Source organism: Homo sapiens, chromosome 1 (assembly GCF_000001405.40).
Source record: "Homo sapiens chromosome 1, GRCh38.p14 Primary Assembly".
Lineage (NCBI taxonomy): Eukaryota > Metazoa > Chordata > Mammalia > Primates > Hominidae > Homo > Homo sapiens.
Genome location: NC_000001.11, coordinates 89,523,788 through 89,541,684, shown reverse-complemented (window position 1 = coordinate 89,541,684; position 17,897 = coordinate 89,523,788). Strand labels below are relative to the sequence as shown.

The 17,897-nt window shown below is 42.2% G+C and overlaps 1 protein-coding gene across 4 annotated transcripts in view, besides 3 other annotated features; it reads right to left on the bottom strand.

The window, feature by feature from the left end:
* The window catches only part of LRRC8B (leucine rich repeat containing 8 VRAC subunit B), a 73,033-nt gene extending 56,177 nt beyond the window's left edge, over positions 1–16,856 (bottom strand). For 3 of the 4 annotated variants that reach the window (NM_015350.4, NM_001134476.2, NM_001369819.2), the window contains exons 1-2: positions 16,663–16,856; positions 14,699–14,723 (exon numbers count right to left, since the gene is read on the bottom strand). The gene's annotated coding sequence lies outside the window, so the exon portion shown is untranslated. The remainder of the gene's footprint in view (positions 1–14,698; positions 14,724–16,662) is intronic. The other variant, NM_001369817.2, reaches the window with a different exon arrangement.
* Positions 14,828–15,329: an enhancer, noted in NCBI's record as "H3K4me1 hESC enhancer chr1:89991915-89992416 (GRCh37/hg19 assembly coordinates)". NCBI's record gives its function as "activates a minimal SCP1, AML or CMV promoter by ChIP-STARR-seq in primed H9 embryonic stem cells {active_cell/tissue: H9 hESC(primed)}" and the evidence as "EXISTENCE:reporter gene assay evidence [ECO:0000049][PMID:30033119]".
* Positions 15,330–15,831: an enhancer, noted in NCBI's record as "H3K4me1 hESC enhancer chr1:89991413-89991914 (GRCh37/hg19 assembly coordinates)". NCBI's record gives its function as "activates a minimal SCP1, AML or CMV promoter by ChIP-STARR-seq in primed H9 embryonic stem cells {active_cell/tissue: H9 hESC(primed)}" and the evidence as "EXISTENCE:reporter gene assay evidence [ECO:0000049][PMID:30033119]".
* Positions 16,533–16,992: a silencer, noted in NCBI's record as "silent region_1053". NCBI's record gives its function as "represses an Ori minimal core promoter by ATAC-STARR-seq in GM12878 lymphoblastoid cells {active_cell/tissue: GM12878}" and the evidence as "EXISTENCE:reporter gene assay evidence [ECO:0000049][PMID:35858748]".

Genomic DNA, 17,897 nt, shown 5'->3' with positions numbered 1-17,897 from the left:
GGCTGGAGTGCAGTGGCGGGATCTCGGCTCACTGCAAGCTCCGCCTCCCGGGTTCACGCCATTCTCCTGCCTCAGCCTCCCAAGTAGCTGGGACTACAGGCGCCCGCCACTACGCCCGGCTAATGTTTTGTATTTTTAGTAGAGACGGGGTTTCACCGTTTTAGCCGGGATGGTCTCGATCTCCTGACCTCGTGATCCGCCCGCCTCGGCCTCCCAAAGTGCTGGGATTACAGGCGTGAGCCACCGCGCCCGGCCAGAAAGCCAGCTTTTTAATTGATAAAAATAGAAATAACTCTACCTGGTCTACTTTCTATGTTCACAGTGATGACAACATCAAAAGTGATGGGAACTCTCTCTGCCCAGGAGGTTTTAGAGAACAGCAATCCATGAAAGAATAAGCTCCTCACAAATACAACCTCTATTCTCTCTAGGCCAAGAAACCTTACCCAATGAGCCCATAATTTTTTAGCTTTCTGGAAGACAATGAGCTAAGCTGCCTGGAGGGATTACCTGGTTTCAGCAAACCTCTCCTGTGCAAAGTGTCATTATTCTTCCATAGAACAAATAGTACTTCCCCCAAATCTTTTCCCATTTCCAGTCAGAAGACATAAATGTTTAGAAGCTATAATTTAAAAAGTTGTGCTAATATAAAGCACACTCACTGGTAACCTGAAATTTGACAATTTGACCCCAAATCATCTGGTTCAAAACTTAATCCACTCCTTCTCTGAAAAAGTTAGAAGCTATAGTAAAACTAGTAAAATGTCAGTAATCACAGTTTGACTTAAGTAATTACCATAGGATCTTCTGATAAAAGGAAATAGAATATTTAATCCTATGACTTTTTTCTAAACTAACTTTTCTACTAGTCTCCTCTACTTCATCCCACTGCCCTACTTGGTCTCGCAATATGATCTCTCTCATCTTCAGCACACCCTCCACACAGTTGCCAGTGTTACTTCCCAAAACTAATCTGATATAATCTCTCAAAACCTTCCTTGGGGCTCCTGGGCTCTTCCTGAGGAAGCTGTATGCTTTGTATAGAGATATAAATGTATCTCCAAGCTCACCCCTGGCAGAGGCTGTGCCACGGTCAGCACTGGCTGTTCCAACTCCCACTCCAATGCTCTTGTTCTTTCATTCGTGTCACAAAGGGGAAAAGCTGACATGACTGGGGAAGGTTACACTGTGTGGGTTTTTTAAAACTCAAAGCGTGGGGTTGATTCAGACATATTTTCACATCACTGTTAGGGCCATTACAACAGATAACAAAATTGGCAAAGTATACTTCTTTTGCTCGTCAAGTAAAAAGAAAAGAGCCACATAGGCAAAGAAACAAGAATTTAGAGGTAGAAGGAGTTTCAGGCCCTCATACTACAATGTAATGGACACATGGATCATTCAGCTTCTATAGCTCCAAATATTTGATTCATGTATCACAACTTATATTCTAAACATAGTATTATTTTAAAACTATACAGGTCCCTAAACATAAAAATATAAGCAACATAAAACTTAAAAAATAATAAACTTAAAAATAATTGTCCAGGTGATGGAATTGAGTAGCTGGAACACTTTATTTAATCTTAGGTAATTGATTAAAGATATCCAGAAATGATACGTGAAGATGTAATAAATAAAATAATAGACATGCATGTAGAAGGTTAAAAACAATTTATGGAAAATTTCTCCTGGATCTTATGGAAAGCTAACTTTCACAATATCTGCTGAATATTTAATTATAATTCTAAAACAAGCACAAAATAAGCATGCATTAGCTGTTCAACTACTTATTTTTAAAAGTTCAATGGCCCCAATGGCCAGGAGCAAATATTGCAAGTTATTAGTAATCCAGATTTATTTTTATTTAATTTAAAAAAAATCTAACATAGGCTAAGTACCTTGAAGTGGGAGAAACCTAGCTGATAAATCTTTCTATTGAAAGGTTAAGTTGAACAATGCAAAATCAAGCAAAAGGATCAATGACTGGTGAACATTACAGCTGGCTTGATTCCCTCCAATGGAATATGCTTCAGCAGAAGTATCTGTCCTTTGCAATGTGTTGTTTCTGTGGCCCTAATTTCTATATTACACTTTCCATGCAGACTCCCATTAGTCTTTCTTCACCTTCATGACTCCTGGGTAGAATAAGGACTGATAAAGTAAAAGACGATGGGAATTGTAGGGTCCAAATCAGCCCATAACCCCAGTCCCTATACCCCCACAATGTTGGGCTGGTCCAGTTCTATCATCAGTGAAGAAAAAGCAACGCCTGAAAATCCTAGATCTCTTTTTAGCATTGTAAACCATGTAGGAGATGCTTATTACATCTGCTTTGTTCTCTATTTCTATGGTGCCTGTCACCATAGTAACAGGGCATACAGATGAAAAAGTAGGCTAGAAATACCCAAATATGGGGGGCGGAGAGGGCAATATGGGGGAAAGGGCCTTTCACTGATTAGGAAAGAAAAGGCTAGAATTTCTTCTTTCAGAGTTGTCAATGCATTAAGGGGTAATTCTAACTAGAAAAATAGGTTTTCTTTGCCTTTAAGAGAGCAACAATAGAAAATACCCTAAAATGTCAATAAATATCAATGTTTCTAGGAGGTAGTCTTGCTAGGCTTCTGAGATTTTAAAGCCAGATGTATTAAAAACCTTGAAGGGGCTGGGTGCGGTGGCTCACACCTGTAATCCCAGCACTTTGGGAGGCCAAGATGGGTGGATCACCTGAGGTCAGGAGTTTGAGACCAGCCTGGCCAACATGGCGAAACCCCATCTCTATTAAAAAATACGTAAATTAGCCGGGTGTGGTGGTGGGTGCCTGTAGTCCCAGCTACTTGGGAGGCTGAGGTAGGGGAATCGCTTGAACCCGGTAGGTGGAGGTTGCAGTGAGCTGAGATCATGTCACTGCATTCCAGCTTGGGCAACAAAGTGAGGCTCTGTCTAAAAAACAAACAAACAAACAAAAAAAAACCTCGAAGATGCTAATTTAAACCTTTAAACAGCATCTAGTTTTGGAAATGACATACTCATGCTGCAGTGTGGATGACTGCTACTTAAAATATTTAGTTACTTTGTAGTACTAAAAGTTGACACATCCGTTAAGGAAGTGTGGTTGGGAAGATAACTTACTACAATGAGTATTTCCCTAAAAGTGACAAGTTTATCTTCCAAGTCTCTGTATAAAATGTCCCCAAAGGAAATCACTGGGGTTGGGGTGGGGGATGACAGTCACTTCACTCTAAGGGAGTCACTGCTTCTATGAAAGAAAGAGGAACATTCTCTCCTGTCTACTGGTTCAGACCTTCAAAGGCACTATCAGTTCCTAACTGTTCTTTGCCATGCCAAAATTTCATCTATAAGGAAAGAGAAATCTTCCCACTTCAAGACCTCTGTTTCTTATTTTGCTTTTTTTCTCTCCTGCCACCAGCCAGAGTTCTCCTTGCTCATAATTTTCTAGGACATTTGGAATACCTGAAATGTTCTTTATCTTGTGATACTGGTCTCCTGAGTAGCTGGGATTACAGGCTCCAGCCACCATGCCTGGGTCCAAAAGAGTGGTATGTTCTAACCATGCTCTTTCAGAGTGAAGTTTCTTTCAGAGTAAACAGGACAAGGAGCCCTACCAGCCACATACTTGGGGAGGTTTTACTCTGTGTAAATAAAAATGATGCATGTCTTAATCCATTCAGGCTCCTATAACAAAATACCATGAACTAGGGTGGCTAATAAACAACAAACATTTATTTCTCACAGTTCCAGAAGTTAGGAATTCTGAGATCACAAGATGTCAGCAGACTTGGTGACCAGTGAGGTCCAGTTCCTTATAGATGGTACCCTATTGCTGTATCCTCACATGGTGGGAGAGGCAAACAAGCTCCCTCCAACCTCCTTTATAAGAACACCAATCCTGGATAGGCGTGGTGGCTCATGCCTGTAATCCCAGCACTCTGGGAGGCTGAGGCGGCTGGATCACTTAAGGTCAGGAGTTCGAGACCAGGCTGGCCAACATGGTGAAACCCTGTCTCTAGTAAAAATACAAAAATTAGCCCGGTGTAGTGGTGTGTGCCTATAATCCCAGCTACTAGGGAGGCTGAGGCAGGAGAATCGCTTGAACCCAGGAGGTAGAGGTTACAGTGAGCCGAGATCATGCCACTGCACTCCACCATGGGCAACAGAGCAAAACGCTGTCTCAAAATTAAAACAAAACAAAACAAAACAAAAAACACACCAATCCCATTCATGAGGGCTTTGTTTTTACAATCCAATCATCTTCCAAATGTCCTACCTCTCATCACTGTCACCTTGGGATTAGGTTTCAACACTTGAATTCTGCTGGAACACCGACACTCAGACCATAGCAATGCATACACAAAATAATCAGGAGAAACACTCTAGCTACTTGCACATTTTGTTCTTAAGCGACAGGGTCTTGCTATGTTGCCCAGGCTGAAATGCAGTGGCTATTTATAGCATGATCGTAGTGCCACAGCCTTGAACTCAAGCCTCAAGCCTCCCCTACCAGACCTGGTGTTACTTACACATTTCAATAGAAAAAGCAATAAATGACTTTGTGATAATCTTAGGTCCTTGATTCAGTCACTAATTAGTTGTGACACAGTGGAAAATTTTTACTTTGCCTTTCTCAATCTTAGTATCTTACCAGTTAAAAGAATGACTGAAATAGAACAGGGGTATGAGCTTGAGGATTCTAAGGATGATTTCAAGGCATGTTGAAATTGTACACACATGAGTATGTGTGTATTCTGGGAAAGACCTTCAAGTATATCTATAATATAAAAAAGTTAAAAATTAAAAGTACCCTCTGAGGTTTCTTTCACACAACTTGGAATACCATGACTCGAATCAGCTTACTCAAATAAACTCAAAGTTTGAACTCAGACTCAGGTGAGCATCATACTCGGTATCAAAAGTGCCCACCCCAGAAATGCTGTCCCTGATTGTATACTACCTAATCCCCAACAAGAACCATTCTCTAGTCCTTCACTCTGTTTTACTGTTCTTCATAGCACTTTATTGCATGACATTACACCTTGCATTTGCTTATTTCCCCTCCTCTAGCATATATGCTTCATGCAAAAAGGGTTTTTTCTGTTTTCTCTGTTGGATTTATTCCCTGTGCCTGTAAACAGTGCCTGACACATATTAGCTGCTCAAAAAAATGTATTGAATGAAAACTCTAGGGCCTGCTAAGAGCCATGCACTCTACTAGGTATTTTATGAAATTATCTATCTCAATCTTCATACTATCACTTTAAGGCAAGTTTCCCAATCCTTAGAGATTTTTCTAAAATAATACACCTGTGAAAAGGAGCCAGGCAATAATTATAGAAAAAGCTGCTTTATCAGGATTCGAGTGCCATATCTGCTGGTAACTTTGTGGTTCACTTACATAAGCCACATATCCCCTGAGGAACTCAGTTTCCATGTTTGTATCATGGGGATAATGCTTGTCCCCTCTACTGCAGGTCATCAGGAGAATAAATGTGAATATAAACACTTAATATGTTAGCATTGATGGGCAAATGTCTATCATAGTAAGTGATGTGTTGGGTGGGGGTTTCTGCAGAGATTTGCTACAAGTTGTTTTGCTATATGAAGGCAAGAGAGCAGCGGACAGCTATACAGTACCCTCTTACACAGGAACAGAACATCCAGAAACCCAGAGGGCCCCAGGAAAGGCTCCGAACTCAGTAAGGTGATGGCCAGGCCCAACTCCAAACTGTTGTCCTCTCCCTCTCAATTGCATTTATTTGTAAAGAAAAAAAAAATCCCAAATCTAGCTTAGGACCAAACCTTCTTGCATGCTGGAATTCACAAACTCTTCCAAGAAATTAGCTTTCTTGATAAAATGCTTAAGCATTTTTTTTTCCAGTGGGATTAAGACTTGTTCTTAGAAACCAGTCACTCACTCACCCAGATGACTGTCAGTCAAGCGGCTGGTTATCTTTAACTAATGTTCTTTTTGTATCTAGTCTAATAATGGGTATCAAAGAATTGTGTACAATTTCTTACTATTCTAGGTGAGTTTGTACATTCTTAAAATGGATGACGGTAATTAAATCAATTTGGTATCAAATTAGTTTCTACTAGGTATATTTATAAAGGTGATGTTCTTTTTTGTTATTGTTGTTTTTATAAAAGAGGGTCTTGCTCTTCGCTGCTTGTCACCTTCGCTGGAGTGCAGTGGTGCTATCGTAACTCACTGCATCCTTCCACCTCAGTCTCCTGAGTAGCTGGGATTACAGGCTCCAGCCACCATGCCTGGGTCCAAAAGAGTGATATGTTCTAACCATGCTCTTTCCCTATCGGATATCCCTGTGTACACCAAGGGGGAATCTTTAAATGGGCCTATTAGGGACCTAACAGTTGATAGCTAATTTGACTGAAAAATTTTCTTTAGCATCCAAACCAGTGATCTTCAAGCTGGGGTATGGGGTTTTGGGAGTCTTATTGGGAGTAATTGACAATGTGGTGGAATCTACTTCTAACTCAATTAACCCTGCCTAAGAGGACCTCCTTCAAAATACATACTGCCCTTCTGCTGGCTCTTTCCAGCCATATTCTTTTTCCCCTTTTCAAATTCACCCTTTTACTGCAGCAAAAAAGAAAGGCAAACATCTTATTTCTCAGGAGTCCACTTATGGTGCATTGCCTTGGGGTGTAAAAATCTCCAGGCCCCAAGCAGAAGGCCATTTTGAAATACCCATAGGATTACAGATACTGACAAAGTGAAAGACTTTCAGGCCTGAGAAAAATCCTTTTGGGAGTCAGAGTAAAGTTTCTATTTCTTTGCTTAGATCAACACTGGAGGAAGACCTAATCAAATGTCAAGCAACAGAACATTGAAAAATCGTTTCTGTGATAAATCACTAGATATCTTTGGGCATATAACTCAGGGGTTTAGAAGATAGAATGGAATTATACTGACTTCATTCCCATATATTTATATGGCAAGATTTCTTAAGCACTTCCATTTAAAAAGAAACACTTGCTTTGATTACACGTGTTGTTCTGGTCAATCGTGTACTAGTGAAAAATCATAATAACAATTCAAAAGAAATGTTTTTCAACATTTAGAGCCTTATTGTCACAAGCACTTTTTAAAAAACAAGTATACTGAGTGTGTGTGTGTGTGTGTGTGTGTGTATGTCACAAAAGACATGATAATGAAAAACTTTCAATCATAACAGTGTTACACTGGGATTAAGTTTTACAGAAGAGGAATAAAATGAGTTCCATGAGAAAAAAGATCTACGTAAAATTCCTGACTTTTCTAAAAGAGCTTATTTATACGTTTCTTAAACGGATGATGTGAGATATCAAATCACTTTGGTATTTAATTTAACTTCCATTGGGTACATTTAAAAGAGTGATTTTTAAAACCCAATAGTTATAATAGAAATGTGACTGTCTGCAACTATTCAAAATTATGATGAAAAATTTCAGACATTAACTTTAAAAATATATGAGAACAAGTCGTTTTTCAAAATCGTTTTAGAGGATACTCAAAAACATTCAGAGATACTGTTATAAACTACTTGAAAGCCAAGAAGAGCCTGTGTTAACCACGTAAAATTTTGACTTCTAATAGAAAGCCAAAGTCAGGATTATTTCATTGAAGTACAAAAGCCATTTCAAGCATCCCCTACAAGTTGCTAAATCTGGAACTCTGAAAACAGTAAATGTTCAATAAACACTAGCTCATAGACAAAGTACTTTAGCTATTCAACTGATACCTATCAACAGCATGTATAATGTACCTTGTTACTTCCAACCTTCAAGGAGATATTCTTTAAAATTTTATGCAAATACCAGTCAAAAGTACGTTATTGAAATGAAACCCTAGACTAGGTAATAATTATGCTAATTGTATTCCCTAATTCTCTCCTGGATATCCACTGCATGCCCACGGTATGCCATGTACGAAGTCTGGCCCAGGAATCCCAGGAAATGAACAAAATATATTATTTTTCATGAAGAAGCATCCAGGAGGAGGCCAAGCTGTTCTCTAGCCTAGGTACTATGATAGGTATAGCTTAGAAGCAGCACAGAAGAGGGAATGAGGAGCTGTGGGGGTGAGAGGCAGACAGAAGGTGTCAGGAAGGGTCTTTCAGAAAAGGTATGCTTTAATGGAGCCTAGAAAGATGGTTCTGTGCTTGTCAAGAGGATCCCAAACAGAGGGAAGGAACAAAGCTACGGAATGAAGCCATCTGGCTATCTAGAACCTTCCTCCCTGTATTGCAAATAGTTTAGGACAGCTGGTGTATGGGGGTATGACTGCACACTGTGTCCATGGGACATGCACTGGGGACACAGAGATGACAGAGTGGCAAGAGATGAAGCTGAAGAGCTGCAGAAGCCAGACAAAGGAAGACTTTCTCACATGCCACACCATGGTGTTTGGACTTAATCCTGGGGCATAGGGAGCCATTAAAGGGTTATTAAACCCAGGCAATTATGGGATGAGATTTGTCTTTTAGAAAGATTACTTTCTGCAGTGTGGACAATAAATTTGTAGGTGATGCTGGCAGATAGACTATGCTCAAGACTACAAAATCATTATCAGTTAGAAGATAACTGGCAGTGTTCCTGGAAGACTCACGGCAGGAAAGGGGCTGTAGAGGAAGGGCACTGATAGAAGGACCTGAAGGCTATAGACTCTAGACAAATTGGTTACCAATCCTTTAAGAGGACTGTAGGGAGAATAAAGCAAGGAGAAGCCCAGAGTGAGTTCCAAGAAACTTGGGATACATAACTGGGTAAATAGTATTGCTGTTGGCAAAAATACAGAATCTAAAGGTGAACAGCAAATTCTGAGGAAAGTATCTTCAATCCACTAACTCCAGGCCCTCATTTGTTCTGTGAGGTAGGTGGCATGGACATTATTATCCCCATTTTATGACTAATTGGTGTATTAGTCCATTCTCACACTAATGAAGACATACTCAAGACTGGGTAATTTATAAAGGAAAGAGGTTTAAATGACTCGCAGTTCTGCATGGCTTTGGGTGGGCCTCAGGAGACTTACAATCATGATGGAAGGCATCTCTTCACAGGGTGCCAGGAGACAGAATGAGTGCCCAGTGAAGAGGGAAGCCCCTTATAACACCATCAGATCTTGTGAGAACTAGCTCACAATCACAAGAACAGGATGGGGGAAACTGCCCCCATGATTCAATTATCTCCACCCAGTCCCTCCCACGACACGTGGGGACTATGTGAACTACAATTCAAGATGAGATTTGGGTGGGGACACAGCCAAACTATATCAATGAGGTAATATTATTCACCCACTATCACATGCAGCGGTTTTGGCACGTTTACTACACACCAGGCTTAAGAGCAGTTAAACAAGGGAGACAAAGTTCTTGCTTTCACAGAACTTATATTCTGGTGGGGGTGAGGGGAATAGAGCATAAACAAGCAAACAAACAATAAACCAAGGTTTGAAAGACTATGACGGGAACATGGGTAGGGGGTATGGGTACTTTACCTAAGGTGGCCAGGGAACGTATTTCTGAGGACACATTTGAGCTGACTCTTGAGAAGAAAGTAGTCATGGAAATTTATAAAGGAAGAGCATTCCAGGCAGAAAGAACAGCAACTGAGAAGCCCCTAAGGTAGGAAGGAGCTTGGTGTGCCACTGAGGGAGGAACTGCAAATACCCAGGCAAATCTGAAGCAGGAAGTCCAAGTTACAAGGTCATTCCAGGAAAAGGGAGGGTGAAAGACTCTGGCACCTTAGGGCACCACTGGCCAACATAAACTCTCTTGGGATTGCCTGCGAACCTGACCACCACACACAACACTAGGCCTCTGAGAAACTGCATTATGATTGAAGGAAACCAAAATATTGCACCCCAAAATATACTTCTTTGACATATTTTGAGATGGCTGTTCGGAGGGCAAAACAGAAGTAGGCCAGTAAAGCTGTCATTTGTTCGGGAGATTTGTGTCTGTAGAGTATCTGCACTGATGCAGCCAGGCTTTCTCTGAGGCCCCACCTTGTCTGTCTGGATCTAGGAAAGATTAACTGAGAATCTGACAGCTTTAAAGGTCTGAAAGAAACATTTACCATCTATTCTATCTGAGGGCTGCTACCAGAGAGGATCATCTAGATAACAAGACCACCTTTGCTAGCCAGGCCTCCTCTTCTCTCCTTCCCATAACCTGTCTTGCCACCATAACCTGATTTACCACCATTACCTGTTTTTGGCCATGCTCTCAGCCCCTGTTCTTTCTGTTACCTCAAGATGGTATATAAGCATTAACCATCTGGCCATTTCTTTGAGTTTTTAAAATATTTTATATGACTCCTGTGCATACATGTGCACATAATAAAATTTATCAGGCTTTTTTTCCTGTGAAGCTATTATCACTTTGTTTCATAGACTCAAATTATCAAACCTTCAGGGAAAAATTTAAACTTCCCTACATGATTCAGAAATGCTTCTGAAAGACAAGTCATTGCTTAGCTTAGGACTGCTTATTTTAGCATTGAAATAGGGCCAGGAATAAACTCAGTTTTGTTAAAAGAAATGAACTTAAAATCTTTAGATGAACAGAATTTATCTTAAATTTGTCCACTCAGAGCAAGAAACATTCTTCAGTGCAATGGCTGATGGCTCAACCCCCAAGGCTCAGTCATGCCATACCACAATACATGGAAAATACCACAATACGTGGAAGATGCATGGAAGTAGAGTGCTCCCTGCCATCCTCCAAGGCTGTTACAGGGATTAGAGAGGCATTGTTTCCCCACAAACTCCCCTAATAGCTCAGCAGGACACGGCAAGGAGAAACGGCACCTCCCAAAGCACCTGTCAATAGCACCCCCTGCCATGCTGGTTCCTGTCTGTGCAAAATGGAAAGGTACGGAGGGACCGGCCGTTGGGGTTGTCCACCCGCTTTGAGAAGGCCATCCCATGCATAGTCCAGTCACCCAACCCTCTGAAACACACTGCTCATACTTCCCATCCTGTGGTCATTTTCCACTGCTGCTTTATGCGCTACTGATTTTTTGCCAACAGTCTTTCTTCATTCAGCCATATGGTTTCAAATTCCATTTGCTAAGGATGATGCAGATCAACCCTCTGGCCCTCTACAAAAATATCCTACTTTACAGTGCCCTGTCTCAGATGCATCTGCTTGTTGTATCAAGACAGCATCTGTATTTAAAGTTTGCTAATATAGCCCAAATAAACTGTAAAAGAATTAGATTATTCCTGAGTGTCATATTGAGAAGTTATATTATTATATACTCTTATTTATTTATTTATTATTTATTTATTTATTTATTTTTGGAGACAGAGTCTTGCTCTGTCGCCCAGGCTGGAGTGCAGTGGCACAATCTCGGCTCACTGCAAGCTCCGCCTCCCGGGTTCACGCCATTCTCCTGCCTCAGCCTCCCGAGTAGCTGGGACTATAGGCGCCCACCACTATGCCCGGCTAATTTTTTTTTTTTTTTGTATTTTTTGTAGAGACGGGGTTTCACCATGTTAGCCAGGATGGTCTCGAACTCCTGACCTCAGGTGATCCACCCACCTCAGCCTCCCAAAGTGCTGGGATTACAGGTGTGAGCCACCATGCCCGACCCATGTCTCCTTTATAACAACCTCACAGTGACAACTTCTCATCTGTTTGCAGTGAGTGAGTGATTCACCTGTCCTCCCCAGTATGGTCCCAGATCTCCACGAGGGTGGGGAACATGTGCATTTTTGCTCATCATCATTGCATCCCCAGAATATAGTACAGTGCCTGGCACAAACTATATGCTTAATAGCTACTGAAAAAAAAAATACTGTGAAATAAATTAAATGGTGGTAAGGTTTAGCTTCTGAGAGTGGGTCAGCCAAAAATAATTCAAGGCTGAGGAAGGTTAAGGCTTAACCATTCTGTATCATTAACCATTCCATATTTTGTTATTTTATAACAAAATATATAGAAAAAATTTTGCTGTCACTTGGGTGATAAACTGATTTTAGAGATAATTTTATAACTTTCTAAAAAATAGAATAAGTACTGATTTTTGAAAAGGCTCACACAAGTTAGGCCAAATTAAAAAAGAAAAGCTACCACTTTACTGAGGACAGTATTAAGCACTTTATATACTTTTTTTCTTTCAATTCTAATGGTCAGTTATTATCCAGTTTACAGGTAAAAAAACAGAGAGAGAGAGAGAGACTATGGTTGCATACTGAGGGAGGATTTGTGTCCAGATCTATTTGATTTCACATGCCATGTTTTTAGGCTAAGAATAAATGCTGACATTGAGTAATAACGTCTTGCTCCCTGACACTCAAAAACCTCATCTCCTCCCATGACAAGGTACAACACAGCAGTCTCGTAACACCAAGTGGGGTAAATGCCCAAGTATTTAAAATATTAATAGGATTTGGGGGCCAGTGATGTTGTAGCAGGGAAACTAGACAATTAAAGGAAAAGAAGTAAGGAGGAATATAAACAGGATTTACTGAAAGCATGTTTTACGCCAGATACTATATTAGATATGTTAATGTATAACATTTATTTTAATCCTAAGACTCCTGTGAGAAAGACAATACTAGTCAAGAAAAAAGAGATTTAGGATAGCTATGGTGTTTGGATACCTCCAAAATTCCCCACTTTTTTCTAAGGATTTGAGTCTCCCACTTTTTTTTATTTAGCTAGGAATAAGACTGTCTGGAATAAGGATAGTATTTCCCAGTCTCTATTCCAGCTACCTGAGGTCATGTTACTAAGTTCTAGGCAATGACATATAACAAGAAGTATATGACAGCATCCAGGAATTTTCCTTCAGAGACCATGGGCTCTTGCCTTTCCCCTCCTTCCTTTTTCCTTCTTTCCTCCTTTCTGCTACTTGGAACTTGGGGGTGATGGCTGAAGCTCCATCTTGGGATCATGAAGCTGAGGGCCTCATCTTATATATGGTAGATAATCCAAAAAGTAGAATCAGCCTAGTTCTCAGAAGACTGTAGAACCATCATACCAGCCATAGAATGCCTCTCTGCAAGTTTGTTTAATGTGAAAGAGAAACAAGCATCATTTTGAATAAGCCATTGTTCTTTGCAGTCTCTGTAGCTGGCAACTAATTTTAACTAATCCACAACTCATCCAAAGTGATGGCACAGAGTTCAGAATCAGGCCTGTCAGTCTATGAAGTTTGTTCTCTTAGGTAAAACCTTGAAGAACTCTTGCTTGTAATTTGCAAGAGATTTTGAAAAGAGAAAAGTTTCAAAATGCTGAAAAGGAATTTGACAGAAGAAAATAAGGAAAGTTTGAATATGCTCTTAAATCTGCTACCTGAGAAGAAATCAAAAGGAATATGCTACTCAACAATAAAGAATGTGGTCTCCATGAGAGATGAGCAGAGGAAGATCTCAGTCACCTGCATGGAGCTGGATACGGAAGAGAAATAGAAGCTGTGCAGCTGGCAGCGTCTGTGAAATATGCTGTGCTTGTTAGCTGAAGAATAGGCATTGCAGAATGGAGCCCTGGAAATGGTCACAGGATGACAGATGAGAAGAAAGAATTTAAAGGGATTCTGAAATTTAAAAAAAGCAAGAGATGAAGTTTAAATATATACAGTCTAGAAAGAAACAAGCAGAATCACATGACCCATATCAAAAGCAGCAAAAAGGTCAGAAAGGCAAAAAGGAAAGGTCAAGGTTGAAGCCCTGACAACTCATTTTTATTCATTTCCTTTACTCAGGTTCACAGCAGCACTGAAGGAGTAAATGTAAATTGTGTGGCAATTGAGTAGAATCCTAAAGGAAAGGCAGTCATAGAACAGGGAGTTTATTGTTACCCTTTGTTCAATTTCTAAATGAACCACAGTGATAAGAACTTAGGAGAGAGATCAGTGATTGGAGCTAGGCCTAATTTTACTTAAGATCAACCTTAATGATCAGAAAAAGAAAAATAGGTTATTATGTCTGCCAAAGGCATTATTTTAAACACCAGAGAAATTAAGTCATAATAAAGGCATGTAGGAAGTTTAGAAAATACAGATGGGGAATAAAATGAAAGTAGGCAATAGCAATAAAAGGCAGCAATATGAAAACAGATATGACACAAATTAGAAGGTATTTTACAAATGGTTAAATAAATTCTACACTATAACTGGGTCTCCCAAATTCCTCTTGAATGGTCACAGGTCTGAACTGTTTGCTGATGTACCCAGTGCTCTGGGAGTCAGGATAGCAGTGGAGAACCTGCTCCATGCAAGGCAATGCAAATCATGCCACCAAGTGTGTAATAACATGACAGAATCAGAATGCATTCATTTCTAATAATATCAGGGTGTGGTAGAAGGATGCTGGGAAGGAGAAATAAGAGTAAAATTAGAGAATTCAACTTTAGAGACACCAAATGAAAATCCGGGATTGGGTTAAACAGGCTATGAATAGTAAAAAGTCCAGAAAACATAAAATACTCAGGTACTATTAGAAGAATTTGAAAACTAAAATACAAAAACAAAAACCCTTGTTTATAAGAAAAACATTGGCTAAAACAAGGATGTTCTAAATTGTAAAATATTTTTCCCCTTAAACTTCAGAAAACAACAAAAAATAACAAATTTCAGGCCACTACAGGAAAATACATGGATTAGTCTAAAAAACTTGGAAGGCTTAGTATCCTTTAAGTTTTATTAAGCCCCTTTTCATTTTACTTACTGTTGGTGTTTTCACTCTGAGGATTCTGAAAATTAAAATAGCAATGGGAAATGGTGATAGTGGTAGAGAAGAGGTTTAAAAAAGCAAATCTCAACTAGTCAAATGAAATCATTCAAAATGTGAAAAGATTCATAATAGGCTGAACATGTTGGAACACCTTACCAATTGAGGAAAAAGAGAACACATTTCAAAGAATGGTAAACTTAATTCCGACATGCAGATTTAAAAATGTTGTTGGGGATACTAAGTATAAGGAAAGTGCCATGACCCAAGGGTGCACTCAATGACAACATCACCCCCATTCAAGAGACCTCTTTTTAGCTTACAGAAATATCAGACATGTTAGGGCTTATATTCTAAAATTACACAGGCCCAATTACCTTGGGGGTTGGCTGTCACTTTATATTCTCTGAGTAGAGCTGCTGACAAGGAAAGCCAGGAGAAAAAGAAAGTCACCTCGGCACCCACAATTCAGAGAGCATTTGGGGTCACACCTGTAATCCCAGCACTTTGGGAGGCCGAGGTGGGTGGGTCACTTGAGGTCAGGAGTTTCAGACCAGCCTGGCCAACATGGTGAAACCCCGCCACCACTAAAAATATAAAAATTAGCTGGGCGTGGTGGCGGGCCCCTGTAGTCCCCGCTACTCGGGAGGCTGAGGCAGGAGAATCACTTGAACCCAGGAGGTGGAGGTTGCAGTGAGCCGAGATCGCACTACTGCACTCCAGCCTGGGCGACAGAGTGAGACTCCGTCTCAAAACAAAACAAAGAAACAAAACAAAGAGCATTTGGGGTTCTCAGGAGGTGTAGCCTGTACACATAGAGGGTACTGGAATTGTTTAAAAAATTACACTGCAGTTTGACTTCTTTTCCATCCTCACTCCTACACCTAGGTTTAGGGGACAGAACCATCTGATAAAGATAAATCTGTTTTAAGATTTCTGGGGTGTTCTGCAAAGACTACTATATCATTTGCAAATAGGTTGTCTTTTAATAAAAATCATGCTACGTAATGTCTTCTTAATATACGCTGAACAAATTGCCTGTTTTAATTTGGCTATATATCTACAATTTAAAATGTTCATACTGTTATCTTTTACCAGTGGAGTGTTTTTTTGTTTGTTTGTTTGAAGTCTTTAGGCGAAGTGAATTTATTCAAGGAAGTTCACATGTCGGTTTTGTTCTTTTAGAGGGGTGTCTTTTTGACCACAAAGAAAAAAAAAGTTTTCCACAAATGTCATCTAACTAAAGGCAATCTATGGACTTTAGGAAGTCAGTTGAGCACACAGATTAATGAGCCAATACTGAGCCTCCTCCCTTCTGACCTCTCAGCACCTGCTCAACTAAGCTCAGGGGAAACTCTTGAGTCTTCTTCTTAAATTGGTAACGCTTGCCCTTTCTTTCTCAAACAAATCAACGCCCAACACCACCACCAAATTATAGGCAACCAACGCGTATCCAACAGCATAAAATAGTTCCCAAGAGCATAAAATAGTTCCCAACAGCGCCAGCGCAGGGGGCAAAACAGAGCGACCAAATGGGGGCACCCTCAGGGGAGTTGCGCTCATCTGGAGCGAGACGCCAGCCTGGGAAAGCGGAACCCCTTTCCCGCCCCGCCCCGAGGACTCACGCTCAGGTGCAACGCCGAGACTCCCGGGGGAAAGAGAGGTGACCGTCTCGGCGCGACCGCCCACACCTCTTGCTCCAAATGACCCCAGCACACAGGAGAGGTCCTCTCAGCGTGGGACTCCGTCTCTCCCGAAGGCAGGGAGCACAACGAAGCGGCCACTCGTCTCTGCAGCCGCGCTACCGGCCCGCAGCCTGGCTCGCAGGTGAGGCGTGAACAGGTAACCGCACCTGTTCGGCCAGCCCCACCTGCTGCGTCCCCGTATCCGGTCCTCCTCCTCCACCACCTCGGTCGGCGCGGCTCGCCCTCCTGGAACCGGGGTGTCACGCTCCGACCTACCTGCGCGACTCCAGCCCCGGACGCCCGCGCTCCCCGCGGCGTGCTCCTGGGCCGCTCCGGGCGGGCAGGCTGCGGCCCCGCGCCCGCACTTTCCCGGCTGCCGGAGGCTGCGGGCTCAGCGGGAAGCCCCGGCGCTGTCCGGCTCGCCGCCTCCGACCGGCTCCATTGTGACGCGACGCGTTCCGCTGGCCAATGGGCGCTCGGCGGCGCGAACCGCTGACTAAGTTCGCGGGTGGAGGAGGAGGGGACGGGGCGGAGGCAGGGCGCGGAGGCGGCTACCACGGTGGTGGCGGTAGCAGTGGCGGAGGAGGAGGAGGAGGAGGAAGAGGAGGAAGAGGCTGCAGTCGCTTCGGTAGCTGCTCCTGCTGTGAATTTTTCAGCTGCCTGGGCCTGAGTGTTTGCCCAGCTCTGGGGCTGCGGGAGCCAGTGACTCACCTATCACTGCTGGAAACAAAGCGCAGCTGCCATCTCCCCGAGCGCGCCATGTGGCCATCGCTGCCCCCTCGCCCAGCCTGGGGTCCGCAGGAGGTAGCGCACAGCCATACGCCCCGCGGAGCAGCTGGAAAGAGCGGGGACTGCTTTCCAGAAGCGGGAGGGAAATGGGCTTCGGCGTGTCCCCCAGGCGCGCCACACCGGTGACTTCGGCACTACACCGCGTGTGTCGGGCCCCAGCCTTCTCACGTGTGCGTCCCTGAGTAACTTGGCATTTATATAACGCGTGTTGGGCCCTGAGGGAAAGGTCGGGTGCAGCACGCGGGAACCTCCTCTTCGAAAAGGAAGTCCCCTTACTTTTCTTTACCCTGCTTAGAAAGATTGCAGGGCCCAGCCTCTGTGAGGGAGGGTTTACAGTTGTACCAACTAAGCGGCTTAAGTTCGATTCTGGCCTTCCAATACCATTGGCTTCTCTCAAATGTCGTTATCCTCAGGATAGGGAGGGGACCACATGGCCGAGGGGCGGTCCCTATACTCATAACCTGCCTTTCACTGCGATTCAACTGCAGAGACACCTCAACTACTGCCCGCTTGCTTCTCTCCCAAGTGGCACTGCATTTGAAGGCCAACAATATTCCTTACGAAACAGAATTAATCCAAACCCACAAATTCTAGGGACATAAATATTTTTATCATCCTCATCCATTTCCCCACTCTCACCCTTACCCCAGTTTTAACTCAGTCTCTGCCCTGGCTATTATCTTGAGCACACTGATTCAATTAGGCAAGATTTATGTCTTTTA